Genomic DNA, 23,484 nt, shown 5'->3' with positions numbered 1-23,484 from the left:
ATAATAATTCATGCCAAATAATTTCTTTATCTGCTAGGACAGATTTTCTGTTTGACAGAGACATTTTAGCAAGGTATTGGACAAAGCCTGCCAGAGCGGGTCCATTCTCAGGCACATTGAGCATTAGATGTTTGACTGCAAGGAAGCCTGTCTTGGGGTAACTATGATTCTCTGTTTTATCTTGCTCAACATTTTTTACCTTGCCTGAAAAACTAAAAGGCAGATGACACTAAACTGAAATATCTACCATTGTAGATTATTTGATCTTCCTATGTGCTTGCAAAAAACTTAAGGTCTAGTTTGAGTGGGTGCTAAATAATCATATCTTGAATGTTAAAATTGCTATGATTTAGAATGATCTCAGCTGACTAAAGTGATACCAAACCGATATAACAAAGTTTAACTGAGTAAAATGTGATGGTTTATATTTTGGCTCAAATAAATAAATAAATAAATAAATAAATAAATAAATAAATAAATAATAAAATCAACTAGGCAGCAATGTAATAAAGAACCTCAGGAATTGACAGTTGTTGTATCAAAAACGATCAAAGTTGGCAGCAAGCTCAATATACGCCAATAACTTATTACCATTTTTAGAAATGAACTGAATTTGACTACATTAATAGAAATAAACCCAATTGATGATGAAAAGCACATGATGTAAGTCAGGCTCCCTGCGAAAATTTGTGCACTTTCCTAGTACCATAATTCAAGAGAGGTGTTCAAAGGACAGTGCCCATTATGGGGAATAATCTGGAAACTATAATATATAATGAACTATTAAAGAAAATCGGAATGTGTAGCTTGGAGTAGAGAAAACTTGGAGGATATAATCGGTAGAGGGCACAATGTTGAGGGGGCCTGATAGGCGTAATAGGTCCATCAGGTAGAAGCCATATGGACACCGATTTTGGCTGAACATTAATGGGCTATTTCTAATAGTTATTATTGCCAAAAATTAATATGGACTGGCCTGTCAATGGAAATTCCTAAGTAGAAGCCAAATAGCTACTCATCTGCATGGCACAGAGTGTTCCTGCCATGCAGGTGGGCTCTTTCAGGAGATGATCTGCAACATCCTTTCCAATTCTGAGGTTCTGTAATCTTCTCCTCTCTCTAGGGATGCAGTGGAGTGTGGTGGCCAGTGGGAGAGTCAGTGTCACCCGCCAGCAACTTCTCCTTTGGTGGCTGCTCAGCCCAGTGACACTTAGGCCCCTGGGACAATGACCCAGAAGACAGCCATGCCTCCGAAAGAGGGCCAGGTCCTAAGCTGCTGCTTGTGCGCGACTGCACCCGGTATTCTCTTCACCTGAGGCTTTCCGTCCGCCAGTGCAGGAACCCGGTGCTCGCTGGGCTTTTCCTCTGAGATTCCAGCAGGTGGCGCTGGAGGGAGTCAGGGGACATAATGGCCTCCTTGTTCACTTTTTATTTCCCAACACTCCCTCTTCCCAGATTCTCTGCTTTTGCCGCGTGGTCTCTGGTGTCTCTGACATGTTCCCGTCACTCACTGTGTCTGATCTGTCTCACTCACGTTCTAAGCACGATAGCTTGCTGCGTCCTATCTCGGTCACTGATGTCTCCAAATACGCCTTCTTTGCTGTGTGGGCTTCCAGATATCAACAAAATACTCCCTCTCTGTTCCTGTCTTAGCCAGAGGCGTCGCTCCTGTCTTGCTTACTTGCTTGGTCACGTCCGTCACAGCCATGTTCAAGCTATCCCCTGCCTCTTCTTCGCCCTGTTCTGTGCCAGACGCTAACACACTTTTCTCCCTGTGTCTGGGTCCAAACGTGCATCCTCTTGGTTGGCCCCCTTGTCAGTCCCAGACGTCCACTTGCTCTTCCTTATGTCCAATGTCTGTCCTCCTCTTCAGGACATGCTCCATTTATTTTCCATGGAAGACACAGGGTCAGAGATCTGTCAGAGGAAAATGGTCTCCACAGCAACTCTGGAGGGAAGCTGAAGACAGATAGCTTCCTCCTGGTGTCCTGGCCGCTGGCGTGTCTGCCCTGAGATGCTCGCTCTCCTGCTGGGCTAGAACGGGACGTCTTCTAAAAAGCCTTGGGCAGGGCTAGCAACATCGTAGGTGTTTATTAGGCTTCAGGATCTTTCCCATGAACTTGTGATATCATTTTGAAACCCTTCAATCTGGCTTTGTTGCTGCCAAAGGAGATAACTGTTGGAAGTTCACACTGGGGAAACTCATTTTCCCCTGCAGCTCCCCCAAGGTGCAGGAGGGCAGGATCCAGCAGCACTGGGGATGCCGAGGCAATGCTGTACTTGAAGCCAGAGGACCCAAATTGCCGCCCTGGCTGTGCTGCAAACAAGCTGTGAGATCTTGAATAGTGTTCTTTCATCTCTGGACCCCACTTTCCACATCTGTGCACTCAAGCTTGGACTAGAGGACCTTTAAGTTTTCTTTCTGTTTCTAAGACAACAGTATGCTGCTATAGCCGTCTGCTACCTCGAGAAGCCATGGCCTGCCTGCCTTTTGGCTTTGTTTCAAAGGAACGACCCTCCTCATTTGGGCCTTTTAGACCCCTGACCTTTCCAGCTTTGTCCTTCAGATTAATCTGGATGTCTTTTATTCAAAGCTGAGTCAGTGGCTCTTGCGAATGCCCCATAGCAGAAGTCCCGGGAAGGTAAATGCCAAACCCAGAGCCATGTGAGATTCTGACTTTGATCTTGGCTGTGGTTTAATAGCATCTCAGGATTATTTATCATATTCTCTTTTTTTCTTATTGCTTATAAGGTGTCAGTTATTGTTTCCATTGTTGTTTACTTTAGTTCTGGAACTGAAACCGACAGGAAGAAACTTTGGAATAAGGAAGAGAAGATTGACCAAACCATCCAAATGCCAAAAAGAAAAAGAAAAAAAAAAGCCTCTCTGTCCTATGAAGACTTAATTCTGTTGGGGAGAAAGTCATGTTTTAGGGAAGGAAAATAGCCTCTGAAAGAGAAATGCTATTCAGAATTCGTGAGAAATATCTCTCCATGCTGAAATGCTCTTTGTGTAGACTGGGATTCTCCCTGATCAATGAAGCAGATTGAACCAGGGAACCATTCTTGTCACATATGAAGAAAGTTTATTTAAATTCTAACTTACACCCTGACTCTGACTCTGTGGCTGGACCAATCCCCTTTGATTTTTCAAGTCATTGTTCCCCTGCCATCACTAGGCTCAGCAACCACCATTAGGAGGCAAGCACCATTTTGAGGTGCTTTTCTAATATGAAGAAGGGAGCAGCCAGCTTCTGGGCTCCATGGCTCTGGACCTGATGATGAGACCCAACCAATCTGCTGTGGCTGCCCACACACCCACCCATTGCCTGCATGAGCACATTGGTGGGAGGAGTACAGCACAGAGGCAGCACGTGCACTGGGTCCATTGCTGACTTATTAAGCAAATTGAACTAATTCCTGAATGTCTCAGACCTCAGAGAGAATCTCTCTTGCCTACTTCACAAAGTTGTTGTGGAGATATAAGATAATTTTTTTGTGAAAACATTCTGTAAATCATAAAATGCCATTCCACATATTTATCATTACTTTGGGCGTTTTGGATTACTGTGGATGTGCCTGAGCACTCGAGGACTATGAATTTATTTACCGGGAGGTAAACCAACTTAAGAGAGTAAGTTTCTATGTTGATAAAGAAACAGAGAAAGAAATGCCCAGGGCAAAGTTCGCAGGAAGGTAAATGCCAAACCAGAGCCTTGTTAAAAAAATAATATTCTAGGAGCACCCCTTGGGTATTAATTCTTCCTGTATTCCCAGCACTTTGGGAGGCCCAGGTGGGAGAATCACTTGAGGTCAGGAGTTCGAGCCTGGCCAACATGGTGAAATTTGATCTCTACTAAAGCTACAAAAATTAGCCGAGTATGGTGGCATCTGCCTGTAGTCCCAACTACTTGGGAGACTGAGGCAGGAGAATTGCTTAAATCCATGAGGCAGAGGCTGCATTAAGCTGAGATTGCACCACTGCACTTCAGCCTGGGCAATAGAGTGAGACTCCATCTCACTAAATAAACAAATAAATAAAATTCTAGGAATTGTAGAAGCACCCTTTGGATATTAATTCTTCCAAATCCACCCATCCTAATTTGGTCATTTCAGGTTGCCCAACACACGAATTTATGAATCACAGAAACTCATTTAAAAGGATTTGGTTATTCACAAAGTAAGGGACTACAGGCTAATTTTGATAATAATGAGCGTAACTTCTCATATAACTTCAAAGTAACATGGAATAAGATTCAAATGTTTGTTCACTATGAAAAAATGTATTTGAAGAAGAAAATACTTGGACCATCAAAATCATCCCCATGCTATAAATTATATATATACAAATCCTATGAAAAAAATCAAACGTGGACCAGACTATGACCAGATAGCATGAATACTACATAAAGAGTCAACTAAGATATTGAACCTGATAACTTTTGAAAATTTTCCTGATCTGATAGTCTATGTATATGATTGTTAATTGTGGTTTAATGCTATTTTAGCTAACAACTTAATTTTATTTACATTTTTAATAAAGTAGAATTACAAAGGGGCCACTTATACAGTTTATAATGCACTGAGATCCCTTGTGTGATCAACATATAAAGTACATGTGTGCCCACCACATAGAACATGAAACTTAATTCTCTAATTTCAAAGGATTACAAATTGTAATGATGGTTGTGTTTTTGGTTTATGAGATTGTTAGTTATAGCTATGATTTATTTGAAGCTAAGGCTTTGAAGGTCCTAGAATCCTTGATTCTAACTTTGTTTACATGGAAAGCATCTTTGGCTTTATGATCATCTACTTTTTGATGCAGTTCCCAGAAATGTGTTATGGAAAAAATTGGAGCCTACATAGATTTTTTAATTGATAAATTATATTTATTGATAAATTATACATATGTTTATATGAGTGCATTCTGTACATGTTTATATAAATTATATATTCAAGGAAAAATGCGTCTGAAAACTAATAACTGAATTTTGAATATGCAATAAAATGCCAAAGTCAACTCCCATGCCTCAGTCTTGTGGAGCTTCTCGGTAACCTCCAAGATCCCAGGGCATTCTCCAGTAGCTATGTCGTTTGAAGCTAGAGAATTTTCTGACTCCAGTACCAGGTTCCTCTCAAAGGAAAGCTAGTAGCCCCGGGCCCCTAGATAATGTGATTTTACCAGATTCTACCTGTCTGCCTGTCTGTCACCTTCATCAAGGCCTCCAGCAATAAGACAAACCTCTATGACATGGTCACCTAATGAGCAGAGGATGGGGATCCTGTCCAGCTACTCTCAGAGCACAAACCACGAGGAGGCATTTAAGGCAGTGTGACAATGTATATCTGGAGGTCTTGGATTGAGGTTAAGCATGTGCATCCCTGCTGAAGCCTTTAGAAAAAAAAAACTGGAGGGGGCATGTCACGAGCCATCCAAGAGCCTGGAGTTCATCTCCTTTAGGCCCAGGTTATGTGTGATGAAATCTAGGTCCCATCTCTTCTGAGTGTGGAACAATGGAATGAACCCTGTCAGCAGTCAGGAGACAGAGTAATGTCCAGAGTAAAATAGACTTAGCTCTTTTGTTTACCTCTTGGGACCTATCTTCTCACATATAAAATGCCAGGGGTGGACAAGAATTAGGTTTACACATCAGAATCCTTTCTTCATACACAAATCTACCTGGAATTCCATCACATAAAAGATTCAAGCAGGACGGGGAATAGGTAGGTCTGGATCTCCCATCTCTGGTTATTATAATCTATGCCCTGGATGGAATGTTCTTGGGAGCCTAAAGCCCAATCGCTGGACCAGGGAATACCCTCTGTGCTGGTGCTTGTTTACCTCCTGTCCTTAGCTTTTCTGAGGCGGTGTTCATAATACTGCCATGAACTATTTTTTCCAGGTGACAATCATTTCCTCAGAATCACACCTCCCCGTTAGAAAATCTCTTCCTCCATTCAGAAAGCACACTGTCTCCTGAAACTTCCTTCCTAGAATGAAGACCTAAGCCTTCACCGGCTGTGAAGTACCTGCTACCAGACCCCAGAACCTCCTGCAGAATCCACCTCCAAACTAACCTACCCTTGGGAGAATGTCCTCTTTCTTGATTTCTTTACAAATCGCCTAGTTCCATGTTGGAGCATCTCTAGATTCATTTAAGGGGAAGAGACTAGTATTGATTTAGCACTTACTGTGCGCTAGGTGATTTCTATTTGCTATAGTTTAATTCTCTCAACAGCACTATGGCATTCAGAGAAAAAGAGATTTTCTGAACACCGACTATGAGGCAGGGTCTCTTGCCAGAAGTCTACTAATAAAGAAACCGGACAAGGTCTCTACTCTCTCTTGTCAGAAACTAGAAAATAAACAAGGAGACACATGTACATGAATAAGGCAAGTTTAGATACTGATATGTGCTATAAAGAGAATAAAAAATAGAGATGGGCAAGGGGGTGTTTTAGATGAAGTAGTTAGGGAAGGTTAGATGGAGGAGGTGAGCTCTGTGACAGGGGACAAGCATTCTAAGGAGTCAGGCATATATTTGATCTGAGGGAATATCAAGTCAGGCGAAGGGAAAAGCAAATACAAATGCACTAGGGCAGGAATGTGCTTGACATAGCCAGTACAGCCTAATTAATGCGAAAAAAAAGTGGTAGGAGATGGGATCAGAGAAATAAGTAAAGGCTGATCATAATTCAGTAGCTTTGGTGCCATTTACCAGTTACTACATGTCAGCCTTGGTGAAAGCATTTTACATGAGACACCTCATTTAACCCTGTTAAGGTAAGTATCATTTTCCTATCACAGGGATCAGAAAACCAGGCTGTACGTCAGAGAAGTTAATGTGGAATTTTTCCAAGGATGCAGAAATTACCTGCAGCTGGAAATGGAGCCCAGGTTCCACCAAATCTAAGGGGACTTGATCCACCTGAGGCCCGTTCTTGTTAGCAGCAAGAACAATCCTTGAAATGGATGGATTCTCTTCTTGTGCACTTTTCCCCTTTGCCCCTTTGTTTCTCCGTGGAGTTTTGGCTGTCTGCAAACAAAGATGCATTTATACAGTAGGTCTTCATTGATTTCAATTTAGCTAGTTCCAAATAGCATCTAATTGGAAGGAAAAGCCAATTATTGGCCAGCCAGAAAGTGATTCTTGATAAAAATTATTTTATCAGAAATGAGTGGAAATCAATCTGGCTATGTAATCAGTAGACTTTCTCATGCATTTCCTTATCTCTATCCTTACTGACATCATCCTTTCTACAACTGACATTATCTTTCATCTGGATTGGGGAATTAGGCTCTAAAACATAAGTTTCAGCATGCCATTTCCCCAATCAAAATCCCTCAAGGACTCCTCATAGCCTACCAATACTTTCTGTAAGTCCACTGTTAGAGTTTTTCTTCCAGAATATGCTCAACTCTTCGGATTTGCACATTCAGCTACTACTCCTGCCGTTCTTTCCACTGGGCATGATTCCCCTGGCACCTCTTACATAGTGTATTTCAAATACCACCTCCTACCTGAAGTCTTTTCCAGCCTCCAGGACTGCATGAGGTTTTTGACCTATTCCAATCCCCAAACATTTTATTTGTTCTTCTCCTGTGACATTTTGATATGCTTTTCAGTGTGGTTCATTAATTACGTTCTTTTTGATCTCTCCTACCAGATTTTGAGCTCCTTGAGGACTGTGGCCAATTCTTATTGCTCATTTTTTTTTCTTAGTGCCCAACACAGGTTTTTGTACACTGAAGTTATCAAATAAATTCATTGGATGTATTTGTTTGGAAGAATGTGAAGCTTTTCATTGTTACGGCATCTCCACTGTACCAGCCCACTTTGCCCCTTCAGTCCCAAATCTCAGTGCTGCTCTGCCATTAGTACTCCACCCACTTCAAAAGCTGCAGCCTTCTGATAAGAGAAAACTCTTTCTGTGACAGTTTTGAATAAAATCAAGATGTTTATCACACCTCTTTCAAGTGGCAGAAAGATTAGAGTTTTAAAATACCGTTATATCACCGAGTTATGGCAAGTTTATTTTCTCTTTTGGTCCTGTCTATTGAAAAAGGGCTTAAGCTTAAAGTTTTGTATTTATAGAAAGTTGTGATGAAGCGGACTGAAGTTTTGTGAGTTACTTGACATTGTGTAATCTTAGAGGACATTGGCCTCCATTTCACCAATAATGGCATCTATTGAGACAACATAGAGCAAATGAAGCATGAACTGAGCCAGAGATGTAGAATGGACCCAGTGAGAGTTATTCAGGCTAGAGTGTAACAAAGCATCTTTGAAAGATGTCATAAAATGTCAGATTTTTCAGCAGCATCCTTTCTAATTTGCTGTGTGGCTGGGAATGTCTCTGCACCTTTCTGCCTAAAGTTTTGCCATTTGTAAATTGAGAAACTGTCTTTGGTTAGGAACTTGGGCTTTGACATTACATGGACATAAGTTGAGATCTAGAGTCTACCAGTTACTGAATGTGTGACACAAGCAAGTTCCTCAACTCTTGGAGCTTCAGTTTCTTCTTTGCAAGGGGATAATGATAGCACATTCCCCACCCAGTGTGATGAGGCGTCAGTGGGTTAAAGCATATAAATAGTGGCACACAGTCTCTGGCATACAGTAAGCTCTCACTGAAGTGTAGCTGTTACTATTATTACTCTGAATTTCATGACATTTGAAATTCAGAAGCAGTATGTGGAGTCATATGGAAAGGGTTGTTGAGAAACCAGGAGCGGGGAAGTGGTGGAAGTGGCAGGCAGTGATTGTTTCTGTGCCAGTTGTCTAATCTGAGAAGGCAAAGGCTAAGAGGACTATTCAGGAGAAGATGGAGATGGTAAAGGATTTGGCTGTGGAGTCACAGAAGAAACATAATCTGCACGCATGGAAAATGGTATCTACTTGTCATTCAGTGTCTTCTTATGACACTCCTAATATGCCTCTTAATCCTCTCCAATTAATGTGTCTCCCAAGCAAGAGTCTCACTTCACCTTCTAAGACAGTAAAAGGATGCAACTTTATTGAGCATATAAGATAGTCAGGACTACCTAAACACTTCACATATTTGGTAACATTTAATTCTCGTAAAAAAATTTTGACTGGATTGAATCCCTGCTTCCCAATTTGCAAATTTGCTTCTTCAGACACCTTAATTAATTTCTCTGAGCTTCAGTTTCTGTATTGCTAAAAATAGAGGTATTAACACTACCTAACTCATGAGGTTGTATAATTTAAATAAAATTATGATAGCAATTAACACACTGCCAGGGAGATAATTGGTAGTTTCTATTATTGTTTTTATTATTATTGTATATAATGCCCATTTTATGGGTAAGTAAAATGAGGCCTAAGGAGACTACTTTTTTTTTTGGAGAAGGAGTCTCACTCTGTCATCCAGGCTGGAGTGCAGTGGCGCCATCTCGGCTCACTGCAACCTCTGCCTCCCGGGTTCCAGCAATTCTCCGCCTCAGCCTCCCGAGTAGCTGGGATTACAGGCACACGCCTCCACACCCGGCTAATTTTTTGTATTTTGATAGAGATGGGGTTTCACCGTGTTGCCCAGGCTGGTCTTGAACTCCTGACCTTAGGTAATCCACCCGCCGAGACTACGTTTCTAACCGAAGGTCATGCAAGTTATAAACAGCAGAGCCAGGCTACAAACCTAGATCTGTCTATGTTGAGAATCCATGCTCTAATTTTCTGGCTGCCTAGAAGGTGAGAGACAGAAGTAATGCCACCAAACTTTAAAGAGACACTCCCTCTGAAATTAGAAGATATTTTACAATACGTGAGGGTAGTCTAGTAGCCTGGATGAATAGTCATTTAAATTGGTCTGGAGTCCTGAATGAAAGGGCAGACATTATCTGTACTTTTAAAAACTTGGTCGAGATCAGATAATTTAATTTCGATTTAGTCTTTCTCCGTATTGAATGTCATTAGGGGGGTTACGTCATTTCATTCCCTGAATTAGCATGGCAATCATCAGTATATGGCCTTCCTGTCAATAGGGTACAAATAGGGACCCATATGCCACTGCTTAATGATGAAATTCTTGGCCAGGATAAAGATCAGCCCCCCCACACCACCCCCACATTCTTTCTCCAAAGCCTTATAGCGATCGCTTTTTATCATTCTCAGTAACTTGCCGCTGGGAAGGTCGTGAGTCATCAGCTACTAAGGCTTTGTGAAAGAGAACCCAAGCCAGGGTTCTGTAACTTCAAGTGAAAAGGCCTTGGCTCGCTGAGCAGAGGCACCATTTCTGGTGGGACCTCTTGTCCCAGCCAGCTAGAGAGTGGGCAGTTGGTCAAGGGATATGAGTCAGTGGAAGGAACTAGGAAAGGGTACTCTTATCAGGGTCACTCTTATTATTGCATCTCCTCTCCTCAGCACAGAACCATCTGGAAACACTGAACTTGTAAGACTAAAAGGCCAAAATCATTCTTGAATTCTGTCTCATCTAATAGTAGCCGTCTCGGTGGAGAGCATTCTCTATTTATTCTCTAATTTCCTGGCATTTCTTTGCTATTCAGACCTTCCTATTACAGCTGATGATTTTACTGAATAATGGGAAAAAAAAGACATGGATTGTGATTCCACCTTGCATTTTGCCGCTCACTAGCTGGGTAAATTCTGGTAAGCCACTTACCTTCTGGGTCTCAGCTTTCTCATGAAACAGATGCCCTAGACTACCTCACCAAATTTTATTCATTCACTTGACAAGTGTTTTTGCGCTGTTAGAGGAGAGATACATAAATCAATTTTGTTCAATGGCCACTGAACAAACACCGATAGTGATTATGTTAATAGGTGAGAAATATCTAGTCACAAAAAACAGAAAGCCAGGCAAAAAGTAGTAAGACCAGTGAGATTCACTAAGATACTATATTCTAAAATATGTAGGACTGGGCAACAAATTCAAGATATTACTGTTATTATTACTGATTGTCTAATATTCCAGGTAGGAAGTCATTTTTTATTTTCCAATCTTCCAAGTCTCTTACATTTATTCTTCAAATTCTCTTACTTTGATACAACTTATCTAGTCTTTCACTACTCACCACTTCATATGAGGACAACTACGGCTATCTTCTACCTCTTTTTTTTTTTTTTTTTTGAGATGGAGTCTCGCTCTGTTGCCCAGGCTGGAATGCAGTGGCGCGATCTCGGCTCACTGCATGCAACCTCTGCCTTCTGCGTTCACGCCATCCCCTGCCTCAGCCTCCCGAGTAGCTGGGACTACAGGCGCCCACAACCACACCCAGCTAATTTTTTGTATTTTTAGTAGAGACGGGGTTTCACCATGTTAGTCAGGATGGTCTCAATCTCCTGGCCTTGTGATCCACCCGCCTCGGCCTCCCAAAGTGCTAGGATAACAGGCACAAGCCACCGCGCCCAGCCTCTTCTACCTTTTTTCCCTCTACATCTGGACATTCCATCAGGCTGATGTTTTTAAAATCACACATACACACACAACAATAAATACAAAAAGAAAAAATAAAGTTATGCCCTCCTAAAATTTTCTATATTCAGCAACTCTACTCAAAAACTTTATGTAGTAGTGCCCAGTTTCTCATCAATATGTCATCCACTCCTACAACACAGTGCCCAATTCAGAGTACAATAAGTAAAACTGGGCCAACTCCCACTTCCTATTTCAGCTCTCAGGCTGTGTGCAACTTCTCCCTGCTAACCATGCTTTTCTTCCATCGCCTGCCAGTTAAAACCAAGGCCAAGTTCATTGACTACCTTGTCTATGAAACCTAATGGAGCCTACCCTGACCTGTTTAATACATTTTTCCACAGGACATAGTTCCCTGGGGCAACAACCATAATCTCCCTGGGTGTTCTCAGGCCTACATACCAAAGAGAAGCATCCAAATTAGCTATCTCCACATAAAACTAAACAACAATACCAACACCAACATCACCAGCACCACCAGCAAAAAACAGGACAAGGTAAAAGTCATTCTCTAATTGGCAAAGACACGTGGGTCCATATAGATAGAGTATCTCAGGAGATAACAGAAATGAAACAACCTAATTAACCATCTCAGGAATGTAAGGAAAAAATGCTATCAATTTCACCATTTTGCTTGTTTTCATTTAAACAAACTTTAAGGAGACACCCACTGTGTGCCAGGCATTGTGCTAAGTGCTAGTAATGCAAAATAATAGACTCAGGGCTTGTTATGCCAGTCTCTATGGGCCTGATCTTGGGGCTGAAGATAAAATGGAAGAGACTCTGTATTGCCACCTTCTGTGGTTGCATATACCCTGTTGGGTGCTCTGAATGCTGGTCACTGTGGCCAGCCTGGACTGTGATTAATCTTCCAGACCGGTTTGCAGACCCAGACACCTATGCCAGTGGGAAACTGGTGAGTGGAACCCTATGTGAGTATCCTGAGAGTATAAGAAAGCATCACACGGACAGGGACACCTGGAAAACCTAGTACTGATCACCACACACCAGCAACTTTTTGTGTTTCCCTTTTTCTCATCAAAGGTAAACTACACTGAAACAATTCTACTGTAGTGCTAACATTTAGGGCATAAAAAATCCTTTTGAGAGTCTGATGAAATCCATGATCTTTTCCCTAAAAATCTGGACATATGCACACAATTTTTGCCACATTTCTAAGAAGTTCATTTATTCCCTGAAATAAAAATCCAACGTTAAATAACAATTAAAATCCCTGCTTTAATGTGAATCTGTATTGGTGGATACAACAATAGTGATTTATAATAAAGTCACTAGGTTCTCCCTATTTTCCTGCCTGTGGTTAGTGATGTATTTATTTAGAAGTCATAAGTACAGTCTTCTAGTGCCATTTTTGTGAGCACAATGACTCATTGTAAAAATAATATTTCTACGTATAACATCTTTCTTTCCTCCACATAGTTCTATGGAAATTATCTCATAAATTGTTCCAGGTTCCCTAGAAACTGGATTAAGGAATATATTATTGCCTTCCTTTACAAGGAAGGCATGATTCAAATGCAAAATACAGAAGAGTCTGGGAAAATGGCTGAGATATTGGGGAATGATTGAATTCAATCAGAAATCAGAATTATTTCACTCAACAGGGAGTTATGTATTATATGCCTGCTATGTGTCAGGCATTGTACTAGGCATGGGGTCGGCTAGCTCTCAGCCTGCTATCTAGCCCCCAAGTCTGTTCCAAGAGGAGAAACTATATTCAATTTGAAAATTGACTGGAGAAAGTACAGTATCCCTAACTCAGTAATAATATCCTACATTTTAACAGCATACACGGAGACAGTGTAGTGTGGGTTGACACAATTTTTGAAAGTAAGCAAAACTGGATTCAGATCCTGATTTCAGCACTTATTGAATGGCCTTAGTTAAATTCCTGAAGCTTTTGATCTTTAGTTTTCTTATCTGTAAAATAGAAATTACTTTTAGAGGCTGGGCCCACAGTGGCTCATGCCTGTAATCCCAGCACTTTGGGATGCTGAAAGGAGCAGATCATTTGAGGTCAGGAGTTCAAGACCAGCCTGGTCAACATGGTGAAACCCCGTCTCTACTAAAAATACAAAAATTAGCTGGTCATGGTGGTGGGTGCCTGTAATCCCAGCTACTTGGGAGGCTGAGGCAGGAAAATCGCTTGAATCTGGGAGGTGGATGTTGCAGTGAGCTGAGATTTTGCCACTGCACTCTAGCCTGGGCAGCAGAACGAGACTCCATCTCAAAAAAAAGAAATTACTTCTAGAGCAAGAGTTAGCAAACTACAGCTCTGTGGGCCAAGTTCAGCCATATGTGTGTTTTTTTGTGTGATCCTTGAGCTAAAAATGTTTTCTGCATTTGTAAAGGGGTATAAAAACAAATAACAACAATCAAACAGGAAAACAAGGAAAGCAAAAAAGAATATGCAACAAAGACTCTATGTGGCTTCAAGGCCTAAAATACTTACATCTAGCCCTTCACAGAAAAAGTTTGCTAACTCTAAAAAAGTTGGCAACTCCTATTCTATAGTCAGAATGCCTGCATTTGAATCCTTATGGCCTCTTACCGTCAGTATGATCTTGAGCAAATTGCCAAACTTCTGTATCTAATTTTCCTCATATGTCAAGTAGAGATGATAATAGCACTTATTTTACATGATGGGAAGCTGCATATGTTAATATGCTTAAAATGCTGAAAAAGGAGGCTTATATATAGTAAATATTTAAGAAATGTTAGCTATCTTTATTAATAGCACCGTTACCACTGTCATCAGTTATTCAAAAATACTTGTGAATATTAAATAAGATAGTGACCATCAAACAAATAGGACAGTGCCCTTCTCACAATAGGTTCTCAATAACTGTCAGCTATCATTGCTGTTGTCATCACCATCACCATCACCATTATCATCATTATAATTTTCAAAGCTCTTTCACGTACATCATCTCACTAGAAGCTCCCAACCACCCTGTTGTTGCTGTTGTGATCTCCCTCTGATACATGAGAAAATGAAGCTTGGAGAAATGAAGAGTTAGATACTGAGCCAGGAAGAGGCGGAATGTGGACTAGCGCCAGAGATTTTGCATTCTGGACCAATGTGTCCTCTTTCCACATCATACTGCCTCTCCATCAAAATATCTGAGGATCTGTTGTTTGTTAGTTTTCTCCAAATGATATACTTTGCATCCTAGGAGCCTGACAAGGCAGGCAAACATGACTATGTTCCTCCCTGGCATGGTTATGCAGACAGGAAGCTGGGATAATTGGATTCCAGCCATTTGGTCTCAGGACTGCATTTGTAACCAGCCAACTGCTGATGACCAAGCCTAGTGGATAAAGCTCTGACCAAACAAACACAACCCCCGTGTAGGAACTTATTGTTTATGCTGCAGAGCTGGCTTCAGAATGTGCCAGGACTCAGACTGCCACTACGACAAGCAGAGCTTTTGGACTGGGGAAATGTTCAGGTGAGGAGGCAAGACATTTTTGACAGCAGATCTTGTGTAGTCAGATCAGAACCGTTTTATTATTTGGTGTAGGCCAAAGGCTATGGCAAGACTCATTTAAGCACAGTGTGCACAAGGATTGATGTTTAAACAAAGTTAAGATCACAGTGGTACAGCGTTAGAGTGAGCTGATGACTATAAAAAAAGCTAACATTTTGAAGTTAGTTTATAAAAGGAGTCATCATATCTTCATATCACCCCGTTGTTTCTATAGTACTTAAACCAGCTTTAGCTCAGATTTTTTTTAAGTCAGGAGATTCAAATAGACTTTACTGTGGAGCAGTATGTAAATTTGTGTTTCCTGGTATTGTTGCTGCAAAAATAATAAAAATTATGTTTAAGAAGTGTATTCGTCCATTTCACACTGCTAATAAAGACATACCCAGGACTGGGTAATTTATAAAGGAAACAGGTTTAATTGACTCACAGTTCTGCAGGGCTGGGGAGGCCTCAGGAAACTTACAATCACGGCGGAACGGGAAGTAAATACATGATTTTTCACTTGGCAGCAGCAAGCAGAAGTCCCTAGCAAAAGGGGAAAAAGTCTCTTATAAAACTATCAGATCTCATGAGAACTCACACATTATCATGAGAAAAGCAGCATGGGGGTAACTGCTTCTATGATTCAATTACCTTCCACTGGGTCCCTCCCACGACACATGGGGATTATGGGAACTGCAATTCAAGATGAGATTTGGGAGGGGACACAGCCAGCCATATCAAGACTCTTCAGCATTGTCCTTGATGTATAGGGCAGAATAAATAAAATACACTTTGTAGACAGGGTTTTGCCATGCTAGGATAAGCAAATGACATCTGCTTCCAACGATGGAAGTAAGCTGTGCTTAGAAGCAGTTCTGAGACTTGTTCCCCAACTGTTGTGACACAGAGCTCTCAGTCTGAGGAAGGGGACAAGAAGACCTCCCTTCCTAGAAAGACACCCCTATGGATCCCTATGGTGGGATAGATTCAGTTCTTCCTTCTAAGGCAAAGGCAAACAAGTGTAAGGTCTTATAACTCAATATTTGTAAATAAGACCATTTTAAGTAGCCAAGAGTTCCTGCCAGAGTACAGGAGATAGAAGTAATGAGGAAAGCTGGGGTTCTTAGAAACTCAAAGCAGGTCTGGGAGCTATCCAGGTGTTTGAAGCACTCTGAGCCAATGTTCTGGGATCCCATGTCTCTACTGACCTCTTCTCTTTGTTGGCTACATAAGCCCTCTCTTCCTGGTTTTGAGTTTTCCTAACACCTGCTGCCAGGCAGTTGGCTAACCACCAACCAATCCCTGGCCTGTCACATCACCATTCACACAACAGCTAACACAACAGCCACCTGCGCTGCTTCCTAGGCCTGTGACCTACCTCAGCTCTATCCCAGGCTGACAGGCTAAGGCCCTACCTGTACCAAACATATCCAAACTTAAGAATGGGAAGACTGACCTTCTAGAATAGGCTGTGCCATGGTCATTTAAAGTTTTCTACATTGTCTGGGAAGTGGGGTTTGGGGGAAATGTGTAACACTCCTTTTCACCATACCAACCTCAAGGGTTTGTGGTGAGTAGAAAACAAAATAATGGATGTCCAAGGGCTTTGTACAATTATGGTTTGCAATACAAATGTAAGTGACAATCTCTGTATGTAAAAACATATGTTAAAGTTGGTGTGGTTTTACATGGTCATTCGAGCCAGTGAAAAATGCAAACAGCCAGAGGTCTCAGGAAAACTATACTGTTAATCCAGCAAGGCTGACATGAATAGGAGACTGTGGATAAGGCATGTTATACAAATTATACAGTTTCTGAAAATCTAAATTTTTATTTTATAGTAATACCTTAGATTTCATCTTAACATTATTGTGTGACATTAATCACATTTATCATTTTTAAGCATGTTGTGGTGGAAACAAGTGTTCATAAGCATTATATCCTCTTCTGAAATTTTCACAAGGAAAGGGCTGTGGTTATTTTTTGCCAGAATTTGCTCAGTAATTTCAGACATGTCTATATTATCTACATGGTGCACACTCAAAAGTTCAGTCATTTAACTCCTTAAGGGTTGCATCCAAAAAAACCCACCATTGTTACCTGAATTTAGGAAGAAATATTAAATAGGCATGTAAAAGTTGTTAGGATCATAATTAAATAATTATTAAGGTCTAATAAAATAACATATATATGCCAGATATTGGTGATGTGTAATAATTTTATAATATTATCTCATGTGTAATTCTAGCTCCACGCAGGAACATTCAACACCGCTTAATTGTGGGAGATCAAGAGTGAAGGAATGGTTTTGGCTACCCTTTGTGCACTAAAATTCAACAATCCTGCTATTTGAGTGAATGGATCCTTATTGCCTTGAAGTTTAATTTTCAGAGAAGCATGACATGCAGATACCCAGATATTTAAATTTTCAAATGATTATCTAGAGCCCATTGAAAATGTTTGAGTTTCTTTCTTAAATTTTCACACTGGCTTATGAATTATGAAATTGGAAATTTTCATAAAATAGACGTAGTTTTCAGATGGTAACACTAAGAGAGCTTTGTTAGTTCAGGATACCAAGGCATATCATCAGGCTAATGAAATACAAGACAAATCAAGTTGAAGGAAGAAAAAATTGGAGGTCTAAATGACCACTTAATCATGTATTTAACTTAAAGTTGCATTAAAATGATGCTAGCTGATATTTATAAATGTTATACCAGGAATTATTTATATATGATGAACATGACTTACTTCATTTGCTATTCACTGTAACACTCTGACAGAGGGTACTGGTAATGTCTCTATGTGTAGATGTGGAAACTGAACCGTAGGGAGGACTGAGGTTGCAAGGCTACTTAGTAATGGAGCTGGGATTAGAATTCTGGACATTTAACTCTCAGCCACCATTGCTCAGTTAATGGTCAGTGACATATCTAACTGTGCTGAATGAGTACGTCATGGCTCCTTTCCCCAAAAGGTCTGTAATTTATCTGAAAACGTGCTATTTCAATTCACTTGCAGTTGCATTTAACAAGCCACAGCGGTTTGTATTGTTAAATGAATTGCAGAAGCAGAAAGTGCTGTTTGTTTAAAAGAAGGAAAGGGAGTATCACATTGAGACGGTCAGAGATGACTATATGGAGGAAGTGGCCATATATATTCAACTATATTTTCAAAGATCCTTCAACATAGACATATCATGGAGATTAGCTACAGGAGGGAAGAAGAGGCTGAGTTTCCTTACTTGGTAAATTAAGGTAGTAATGTGTCCTGTGAACATCCCAAGTTGTTGCAAGACTCAGATGAAACACTAACTTAAGTGTGCTTTTTAGACGTACACTGTGGCATAACCATGTTGTGCAATAATTATGCTCCCCTCCTTATCCTCCTCTAAAAGCACTTTAAGAATATTGGCAAGCTTATTTAGGCTGAGATCATGTGTCTACTAATCTCTATGTTTTTTTTTTCTTTTTTCTTTCCCAAATTCTGCTTGGCTCTCCCTCATCTGTGGCTGTTTTCTGTTTCAACTAAAAGTGGCTGTTCCCCTGTCTCCAGCTTCCTCCTGCTCTTCTGCAATAGACCAGTTCCTGTCTAACTCTGAAAGTGCTCTGTAAGTCTGTCACTGTCTGTTGTGAGTCTGTCTGTGTCTGCCTATTTATTTCTTTATACAAAATATCCTTAAGTGTCTGTTTATACTTCTGTCCTCACAGGACAAAGTTAAGGGTGCACAATTGTTGGCACAGAACTGCAGAGCCCATATTAATATAGTTTCAGTGGTTTATTTAATTTTCTATTTTTAAATGTTTTAATGATGGGTTTGGCTTCTTCCCTGTTCTGGGAGCACGGCCTTCACAAGCCCTGTGGGAGATGAGCACTGCGATGGAGCTGAAATCACCCAGTATAACTGTGATTCTTAGAAGTCCTCTCATCTGGATTACCCCCAGTGCTCCAATTCATTTCTTTATCTCCTTGGCTGTAAGTGGTGGACTCCTTCATACTTCTTAAACAATTGATCGTGACTAAATAAGGTACTTTTTAAAAAAGTTTTCTAAAGAGACTACTTTTTAGAGCAGTTTTAGGTTCACAGCATAACTGAGGGGAAGGTACAGAGATCTCCTATATGCCTCCTTACCCCAGGCACAGCCTCCCCCATTGTCAATATCCTCTTCCAGAGTGGTAAATTAGTTACAACTGATGAACCTATATTGACACATTATTATCACCCTGAGTCCATAGTTTACATTAGAGTTCATTCTTAGTACTGTACATTCTGTGGGCTTGGACAAACACATAATGACATGTATCTGCCATTGTGGTATTTTACAGAATAATTTTATTGCCCTAAAAATCCTCTGTGCTCTGCGTGTTTATCTCTTCCTCCTCCTCCCCCACCCCAACCTCTGGCAACAATTGATCTTTTTATTTTCTCCATAGTTTTACCTTTTCCAGAATGTCATATTTTTGAAATAATACAGTGCATAAACTTTTCAGATTGGCTTCTTTCACTTAGTATATGCATTTAAGATTCCTCCATGTCTGTTCATGGTTTGATAGCTCATTTCGATTTGGCACAGTATAATATTCCGTTGTCAGAAGCACTACAATTTATCCATTCACCTACTAAAAATTTCTCGGTTGCTTTCCAGTTTTAGCAATTACAAATAAAGCTCCTGTATACATGTGTGCAGGTTTTTGCATCAACATTTTCAACTCCTTGGTGTAAATACCAAGAAGCTCAATTGCTGGATTGTATGATAACAATATGTTTAGTTTTGTAAAAAGACAGACAAACTGTGTTCCAAAGTGGCTAAACCATTTTGCATTCCAACCAATTTTGTATGAATTACTGTTGCTCCTCATTCTTGCTAGCATTTGATGCTATCAGTATGATGAATTTTGATTATTTTTATAGGTTTGTAGTGGTGTCTCATCTCCATCTGCAATTCCCTGATGATATATGTGCAGCATCTTTTCATTTGCTTATTTGCCATCTAAATATCTTCTTTGATGAGATGTCTGTTAAGGTCTTTGGCCCATTTTTAAAATTAGGTTGTTCATTTTGTCATTATTGAAATTTAAGAGTTCTTTGTATATTTTGGATAATAGTATGCCTTTGGTATCAGGTATGTCTTTTGCAAATATTTTTTCCCAGTCTATGTCTTGCTTTATCATTCTCTTAACCTCAAAGAGCAAAATTTTTAATTTTAATAAAGTCTACCTCATCAATTATTTCTTTCATGAATTGTACGTTTGGTGTTATATCTGAAAAGTTGTCACCAAACCAACAGTTGTCTAGATTTTTTCCTAAGCTATCTTCTAGAATTGTCATGGTTTTTATTTTATATTTAGCTCTATGATGCATTTTGAGTTAATTTTTCTGCAAGATATAAGGTCTGTGTCTAGATTCTTTTTTTTTTTTTTTTTTGCATGTCAATGTCCAGTTGTTCTACCACTATGTGTTGACAAGACTATCTTTTCTTCCTTGTATTGCCTGTGCTTCTTTGTCAAAGATAAGTTGACTATATCTACCTTGGTCTGCTTCTGGGCTCTCTATACTGTTTCACTGATCTCTTTGTCTATTCTTTGGCCAAACTATACTGCTTCATTTACTGCAGTTTTATATTAAGTCTTGAAGTTGGGTAGTATCAGTCCTCTGACTTTATTCTCCTCCTTCAATATTGTGTTGGCTGTTCTGGGTCTTTGTCTCTTCATATAAACTTTAGAATTAGTTATTCTTTGTTAAAAAACAAACAAAAAAAAAAAACCTCACTGAGATTTTGATTGGAAATGCATTAGATCTATAAATCAATTATAAGCCTTGACATCTTGACAATATTTAGCCTTTCTATCCATGAGCATGGAATATATCTCCATTTATGTTCGTATTTGATATTTTTCATCAGAGTTTTGTACTTTTCTTCATATAAATCTTGTACATATTTTACAATTTTACAACATTCCAGTACAAACTTGAAAAGCAGGCCAGGTGTGGTGGCTCATGCCTGTAATCCCATCACCTTGGGAGGTCGAGCTGGGTGGATCACGAGGTCAGGAGATGGAGACCATCCTGGCCAACGTGGTGAAACCCCATCTCTACTAAAAATACAAAAAAAAACAAAAATAGCTGGGCATGGTGGTGCATGCCTGTAGTCCCATCTACTTGGGAGGCTGAGGCAAGAGAATTGCTTGAACCCGGGAGATGGAAGTTGCAGTGAGCCAAGATTGTACCACTGCACTCTAACCTGGACAACAGAGTGAGACTCCGTCTCAAAAAAAAAAAAAAAAAAAAAAAAAGAAAAAAAAAGAAATGAAAAGCAAAGCAAAGCAAAAGCAGTGGTGACAGCGGACATCCTTGACTTCTTTCTGATCTTAGGGGAAATAATTGAGTTTCTCACCATTAAGCCTGGTTTTAGCTGTGGGTTTTGTGTAGATTTTCGATATCAAATTAATAAAGTTCTCCTCTAGTCTTAGTTTACCGAGAGCTTTTTAAATCATGAATTGAGGTTACACTTTGTCAAATGTTTTTTATGCATTTATTAATATAATCATGTGATTTTTCTTTTTTAGCCTATTGATATGATGGATTACTTAATTGATTTTCAAAAGTTGTATTTGCCCTACATACCTGAGATAAATTCCACTTAGTTGGGTGGGCAATTCTGTGTATACATTGTTAGACTTGATTTGCTAATATCTTGTTGATGATTTTTGCATCTATGTTCACAAGAGGTATTGATTTATAGGGTTTTTTGTTTTTTTGTAATGTCTTTGGTTTTGGTACAGGATAATGCTCATAGAATGAGTCAGAAAGTATTCTCTCTGCTTGTATCTTCTAAAACAGATTTAGAGAATTGGTATAATTTCTTCCTTCTATGTTTGGCAGAATTCACCAGTGAACCCATCTCAGCCTGGTACTTTCTGTTTTGAAAGGTTATTAATTTTTATTCAATTTCTTTAATATATATATAAGCTTATTCATATTGTCTATTTCTTCTTGTGTATTAGCAGAATGTGTCTTTCAAGGAATTGGTCAATTTCATCAAGGTTATCAAATTTGTGGGCATATTTTGTAGTACTTGATTATTCTTGACTATCCCTTTAATGCCCATGGTGTCTATAGTGATGTCGCTTCTTTCATTTCTTATGTTAATAATTTTTGTTCTTTCTCTCTCTCTTCATTTCTGTTTAGACTGGCTAGAGATGTATCAATTTTATTGTTTTCAAAGAACTAGCTTTTTGTTTTATTGATTTTCTCTATGAATTTCTTATTTTCAATTTCACTGAATTCTCCCTTAATTTTTATTATTTCATTCTACTTACTTTGAATTTAGTTTCCTCTTCTTTTTCTAACTTCCTAAATTAGAAACTTAAATCACTGATTTTAGATCTTTCTTCATTTAGTCCAAAATATTTTATAACTTATTTTGAGATTTCTTTTTTGATCCATATGTTATTTAGAAGTGTGTTGCTGAATCTCCAAGTATTTCAGAATTTTCCACCTATCTTTCTGTTATAGATTTCTACTTTAATTCCACTGTGGCCTGAGAGCAGACATTGTGTAATTTCTATTCTTTTACATTTGTTAAGGTAAGTTTTATGTAGAATGTGTAATATATTGGTAAATGTTCCATATGAACTTAAGAAGAATGTCTATCCTGGCATCGTTAGGTAAAGTAGTCTATTGATATAAATTTTACTGATTCATAGTACTGTTGAGTTCAATTATGCCCTTAACTAATTTTCTGCCTTCTGTATCTGTTCATTTATGATAGAGAAGTGTTGAAGTCTGCAGCTATAATCGTGAATTTATCTATTTCTCCTTGCACTTCTTAGTTTTTGCCTCCTGTATTTTGGTGTTCTGTTCTTATGTGTATGCAGTGTTAAGGATTATTATGTCTTCTTGGAGAACTGACACCTTTATTATTACGTAATGCACCTCTTTATCTCTGATAACTTTTCTTGCTCTGAAGTGTGTTCTGTTTAAAATTAATATAACTGCTCTCATTTTCTTTTGATTAATATTACCTTGGTATATATTTCTCCATCCATTTACTCTTAATCTATATGTCTTTAAATTTAAAGTGGGTTTCTTGTAGACAACATATAGTTTGGTCTTACTTCTGATCGATTTTGACAATCTCTGTCCTTTAATTGGTGTATTTAGGCCAATTATCATTCAAAGTGATTCTTAAAAAAGCTAAATTAATTTTTTGTCTTCTATTTGTTGCCCTCGTTCTTTGTTCTTATTTTTGCCTTCTACCCTTTTTCTACCTTTTGTGGTTTTAAATAAGCATTTTATATTATTCTATTTTCTATCTTTTCTATCATATCAGTTTAACTTCTATTTTTACTTTTTTTAGTGGTTGCCCTAGAGTTGGGAAAACATATTTAATAACTAATCCAAGTCCACTTTCAAATGATACTATACAACTTTTTGGTAGTACAAATACCTTATAATGACAAAATAATCATAATTCCTCTTCTCATCCCTTATTTCATTGCTGTCATTCATTTCATTTACACATAA

General features: G+C 39.2%; 1 protein-coding gene and 1 long non-coding RNA gene across 8 annotated transcripts in view; one reads left to right on the top strand and one right to left on the bottom strand.

Annotated features, from left to right (window-relative positions):
• Positions 1 to 23,484, top strand: part of HTR4 (5-hydroxytryptamine receptor 4) — a 203,496-nt gene that overhangs the window by 170,111 nt on the left and 9,901 nt on the right. For 2 of the 7 annotated variants that reach the window (NR_104445.2, NM_000870.7), the window contains one exon: positions 1,124 to 2,870. The exons of 1 other annotated variant lie outside the window; for it this stretch is intronic. Coding sequence is in view for 5 of the 6 variants with exons in the window: in NM_000870.7 (NP_000861.1) it covers positions 1,124 to 1,214 (91 nt within the window). In the remaining variant the exon portion in view is untranslated. Of the gene's footprint in view, positions 1 to 37; positions 158 to 1,123; positions 2,948 to 7,671; positions 7,782 to 18,491; positions 18,568 to 23,484 lie in introns of those variants that run through there. 4 more of the 7 variants (NM_001040173.2, NM_199453.3, NM_001040172.2 and 1 more) reach the window with 4 other exon arrangements.
• LOC107986462 (uncharacterized) overlaps positions 1 to 23,484 on the bottom strand; it is a 107,158-nt gene that overhangs the window by 75,571 nt on the left and 8,103 nt on the right. The window contains exon 2 of the long non-coding RNA XR_001742935.2: positions 15,400 to 15,497. This is a non-coding gene — a long non-coding RNA (uncharacterized LOC107986462). The remainder of the gene's footprint in view (positions 1 to 15,399; positions 15,498 to 23,484) is intronic.

Source organism: Homo sapiens, chromosome 5, assembly GCF_000001405.40.
Source record: "Homo sapiens chromosome 5, GRCh38.p14 Primary Assembly".
In the NCBI taxonomy this organism is placed as follows: domain Eukaryota; kingdom Metazoa; phylum Chordata; class Mammalia; order Primates; family Hominidae; genus Homo; species Homo sapiens.
Note: the sequence above shows the minus strand (reverse complement) of the source record. Positions and strands in the feature narration are given on the sequence as shown.